This window comes from Homo sapiens, chromosome 5, assembly GCF_000001405.40.
Source record: "Homo sapiens chromosome 5, GRCh38.p14 Primary Assembly".
Taxonomy (NCBI): domain Eukaryota; kingdom Metazoa; phylum Chordata; class Mammalia; order Primates; family Hominidae; genus Homo; species Homo sapiens.
Window position 1 is genome coordinate 7,282,261 of NC_000005.10, and position 6,000 is coordinate 7,288,260.

The following is a 6,000-nucleotide window of genomic DNA, read 5'->3' on the forward strand; positions in this document are numbered from 1 at the left end:
GCTCCGCCTCCCAGGTTCCCGCCATTCTCCTGCCTCAGCCTCCCGAATAGCTGGGACTACAAGCGCCCGCCACCACGCCTAGCTAATTTTTTTGTACTTTTAGTAGAGACGGGTTTTCACCATGTTAGCCAGGATGGTCTCGATCTCCTGACCTCGTGATCCGCCTGCCTTGGCCTTCCAAAGTGCTGGGATTACAGGCCTGAGCCTCGGCGCCTGGCCCAAATGCATCTTTAGGAAAATTATATTTAAGCTCTTCATGGAGACATTAAAAAACCAAGCTGCATTAATGATAAATAATTATATCATTCATTAGTAAGGAGTAAATAGCTGTTTTCTATTTGAGAAGTATTAATTGGATTGTCCATCTGTATGCAGGAACATCTGTTTTCTGACATGCTTTAATCACCATTTGTTTTGTACTTGTACCATAATTACACTTGTTTGTAATATTGAACTCGAGACAATGATTAAATCAACTTATGAATACGATTCTTTTATGCTTTTATATTTCATTAGAAAATGTGTAATTCTGGTATGACATTTATAAGTATATATAAAAGAAAGTATTTGATTCACAAAATGCCCCAACAGATTATGTCAGTAAAATGAGTGTTATATTATGCAGTCTATGTTATTATTTTAGCATTTTTAAGGAAAGTTTATTGCTTCACGGAAGCTTTTTTTTAACTGACCATCTATGAATTTTCTGTATTCTTTATTTCAGTGTGATCACATGGTCATAGAAGAGACATTTTTAGATCATCAGAAGTTGACAGTTTTCACTGTAGTGTATGTGCTTAGTATAAGATGGAATTAAGTTTGTTGTATGGGTGATTGATGAATTTTTACTGAATCATGGATAACTGCTGTTCTATTAATGACATTTCATCAATCAACTGTTTGGATATGGTTTATCACAAAATGTTGCTGACTTCATGTTTGTGGATTAACTGAGGTGAAAGTGATACCTGGTAGAAGTTTCATTAATACAAATTTTCCTCTCTTAGGAGTAGGATGGATTATATTATTTGTTGAAATGCCTTTGCATGTAAGTTCTTAACTGTCAGTTTTCTTGTCCTGTGAATCATATCTTTTCTGTATTTGCTGAAATAGAGACTTAACATTGTTAAATGATTTGTCCATGTCATGGAAAATGTATGCCTCTAAATCTGCGTTCCTTCCTACAAATTACAAGTTCAAAATGACTTTTTTTAAGAAACCAAAAAAAGATGGATTTCTGGTATTTTGTGGCAGGATAAGCTCCCTGTAGCCTATCTTACATGTTGATTACAACTAAAACTATGAAAAGTACAATAAGCAACTAACTGAGGAATCTGAAAAGTAAATAAAAGTAGAATTATGAGTGATAGGCAAAATCTGGAGAAGCACCCTGCAGTAGTGTGAGCTTCCATTGTTGTATTTCTTTCAATCAAAACCAAAACAAACAAACAAAACAAACAAAAACCAGAAAAGAACACCACCAACAAGAAAACACTCAAGGAAAATAGATATTGTGATAGAAACAGCAGAAATGTTGAGAAACAAAACCAGAAGGTTAGAATTATTAGAGAAAATAATATAAAAAGAGTAATTTTAAAGTATCTAAACAAAATTTTAAAAAGGAATTTAAAAAAATAAGCAAGGAGAAGACAATAAAAATAGGTTGATAATTCATTTGTTAGCATTTGTCTGTTTGGTATTTGTTGACCATTTTATTTAAAAAAAATTTGGCTCTATTTGATTTTGGTGTATTTCTTGTATATGTATTGTAAAATTTAGTATTTATTATTATTAAATATTTTATATTGTTAAATGATGATTTATTTTTATTGATAAGAAAGATGTAGTTTTCTGGTTGTTATTTTTGTAATTTTACCTGCATTTATATTTTTCTCCATTTATTTAGATAATACCTAATGGTTCCCCACAATGAGTGGCAATTAAATTAGACTCTATGCTATTTTCACTTTCTCAACTTCTCCTGAACTATTTGATTTTTGTGGCAGGATATTTCTTAATATTTGCCTTTTTGCCACTTAATGTTTTCATACTATTATGGGCAAATTTTGAGATTTAAAATGAACCCACTACTCTCAGCTATTATAGATGAGGCAATCAGGGAGCTAATTCCTACTTTCCCCTTTCTTTTACTCTTTCCTCCTAGTTGTTACAGTTGAATCATTTGTACATTATCAGAATCATCAGTAAAATATCTTTTTACATTTTCTACACCATGTATCCCTTAAATCTATATATGACGCATTGAATGCTTACCTCTTGCCTTACTGGTAGTATTTTACCTACTCAAAACACAGAACTTTGTTCTGTGGTAAATCTCTTAATAAGTGTTAATAAGGGAATATGTAAACAGTGTTCCCTGCAATTATGGGTGCTTATAACTGTACACTTTATAGCTGATAGATATCTTGCAAGGATAAGGATAACCATTTGCTTCTCCCTTCTCTTCTTTCTCAATATTTCCCCCCATTTTCTGGTGTTAACTTTTGCTGTGGAAAACTCTGATGCCAAAATGATTTTCTTTTTCTCTAAGTTCACTATTTTTGCTTAAGCCCCCAAATAATGCTTTCTTAATCTTTAAAGTCCTAGTCCCATACACAGATATATCTTGGCATTGAACATTCTAATAACATATATAAGCATATACTACACAGTAATGTAAATAAATGGGCTTATGATGATCTATCTTGGCTTAATATAGGCAATAACTTTTTTCTAATTCTATGTTTTACAGTTTTTGGATTTTTGGACGGGGAGAGGACTTACTACATATTCTTCTCTCACTTACACCCTTTACAACCCTTACATTATTTGGGGTTCAGTCTCCCTTGTTCTCTTTACAATTTAGTTTTTTTTTCTCTACAATGATTTTGTTTTTAAATCCTATTTCTTTCATGGATTCTGCCAGTTTCTATTGCACTTTCTGGCTATCTCTTCCCCATGCTCTTGCATTTCACTTCATGGTCTCTTTATGTTTTATTACACCCTTAAAATTTATGTTGGAATGTTAAGTGTTCATTCCTTTTTTCATCTGTTTTGTAGCAACATGTTTCTAGTGATTACAAGAGTTGATATATTCCTTTTTTATCTTTATTCTTAGAGTATTTTTATGTGAATGCTGAGAAAATTCCTTTAGTATTTCTCATATGTGAAAGTTGAATTTCCTACAGGACAAAGGAAAGGGGTTGTAGAATGTGCCCCAGCCTGCTAGCTCAAGGGCCCTCTCATCATTTGCTACAGTGACAGACTGTTGCCTCATTTTGGGGACATTATGGAGTCACTGCTCGCTCTCCATAAGAGCATAAATGATTACCAGGTAGTTGTTACTGTCTTCTCTCCTTGATACTCATACATAACTCATAGCACATATGGAAGCAACCTTCTAAATACCCATGTTTTATCTTTAAAATGTTCTTTGTGTGTAGCTGCCCATTTGTTTTGTGCTGACTGCCCCTATTACCTTCAGTTGTAACAACCCATTTAAGGTAGAAACGAGGGACACTCATCTCCATGTGTTTTCAGAACTTAAATGAAAAAATAAAAAGAGGCTGATGTCACTTCCCAGTTTAACATAGGGGTTTTATTTATTTATGTACACTCAATCAAACTATGACTATTACAAATGGTTTTACCGCTACAATAGTTAATTCATAGCTCAATAAAAATGAAGAGTGAAAGATTAAAAAAGGAAAGCAACAATTCTAAACTATAAAATCTACTTCAAAAAGCTACATACAGCAAAGCTCAATAAATAAATTGTGAAAAAAAGAAAATAATATGGGATAAGTTTTATGGTTTAGGAGATACCTTCCTATAAGCCAAAAACCTAAAAAAAAAAAATGCTAAAGGTATAGCTTGCTATAGTACATGGTAGGAGAAATTAACATGTATAAAATCAATAACACTCACATTATGTGATAGTCTACAGCCAAAGAATAATAGAAAGCAAGTGAAATGCTTAGCATAGCTATTTAGTCTACTAAATTAGGTTTGTGAAAATGAGAATGCCAAATGCCTTAAGGCTTACGGCAGGTGCAAAAGCAAAACATCAGAGGTCAACCTAAGTATATTTTTAATATAAAATTAATGTACCTGCATTGTAAGCATTATTTTTTTTGTATGGTAGAAAGGAAAAAATTCTTATATTATTCTACTATAAATGTGTATTCTTTGCTCTACTAAATTTGCATGTCATTGTCAGCCTTTCACTTTGTCTTCAGCTAACAAGAACCTCTTGGGTTCATCCTTTGGAGAACCTGATATCATGGAAAATGGACTGAACTAGGAGAAGAGCCTTTGTTTAGACCACATGCTGAGGTCTAGTGGCTTCAATTAAAAAAATATAAATGTGGCCGGGCACAGTGGCTCACGCCTGTAACTCCAGCACTTTGGGATTCTGAGGCAGGCAGATCACGAGGTCAGGAGTTCAAGACCAGCCTGACCAACAAGATGAAATCCCATCTCTACTAAAAATACAAAAATCAGCTAGGCATGGTGGCACGTGCCTGTAATCCCAGCTACTCAGGAGGCTGACGCAGGAGAATCGCTTGAATCCCGGAGGCGGAAGCTGTAGTGAGCCAAGATCATGCCATTGCACTCTAGCCTGGGACGACAGAGCGAGACTCCGTCTCAAAAAAAAAAAATTATGTATATATATATATATATATATATGCTTAATCTCTAAGCTTTGGAAGGAACAGCCTATCTACAGAAAAATTTAAAACTTGGTCATGGCAGGTACAGAGTTGGGCCCCACTGATTTTGTTGACGTTGGGGTCAGCAGATTCTGTAAATTTTCACTATACCTCTCATATGATCTGCCGCCACACCATTCATACTCTTAACTTTATTTCTCCTCATACCAGTAAATTACTAAAACTGCCAAGTTTTTTTTTTTTTTCACAAATTAATATCTTTAGCATTCTCTTCCTTCAGCCTGCAATGAAATTCTCTACTCCCCTCCCTCCTCCTTCCTCCTTGACTTCCGCTAATGCACATTTGTGTTTTGGTTTCCATACCAAATGAGCTACCTTCAATAAGCATCCCACAACTCCACAGGGAACTTTTGTTTCTCTACCTTCTGTGCTGTTGAAGCACTTGGCTCAGAATGAGAGATCTGTCTGCATTTCAGATCTACAAATTACTCATTGTGTGACCTTGGACATATCCCTAATATTTTTGAGCCTCAGTTTCTCAAAAATTAGAATAAAGATACCAAACTCCTGGGGTTTTGTGAGAGTAAAATGAGACGATGTGTGTAAGAGACTCAGTGCAGTGTCAGTATCTACCATGTGCTATGCACTCTGCGTTTTGCGTTTTCTGTTTTTCTTTTTTTTTTTTCTTTTGAGACAGAGTCTCGCTCTGTCACCCAGGCTGGAGTGCAGTGCGTGATCTCGGCTCATTGCAACCTCTGCCTCCTGGGTTCAAGAGATTCTCCTGCCTCAGCCTGCGAGTAGCTGGGACTACAGGCCCATGCCACCACGTCTGCCACCATATTGGTCAGGCTGGTCTTGAACTCCTGACCTCGGTGATCCACTCACCTTGGCATCCGAAAGTGCTGGGATTACAGGTGTGAGCCACCATGCCCGGGCCAACCCATAGCCTTTTGGTCTTCTCTCAGCCAAGGCATCCAGTGAAAATGCAATTTATTTTTCAGATTCCTCTGGAGAATTAAAAAGTCTCTTTTGCGGCTGGACACAGCAACTCACACCTGTAATTCCAGCACTTTGGGAGGCTGAGGCAGGCAGATCACAAGGTCAAGAGATCGAGACCATCCTGGCCATGGCCAACATGGTGAAACTCTGTCTCTACTAAAAATACAAAAATTACCTGGGTGTGGTGGCACAGGCCTGTTGTCCCAGCTACGTGGGAGGCTGAGGCAGGAGAATTGCTTGAACCCAGGAGACGGAGGTTGCAGTGGGCCAAGATTGAGCCACTGCACTTGCTCTGGTGAAAGAGCAAGACTCCGTCTCAAAAAAAAAA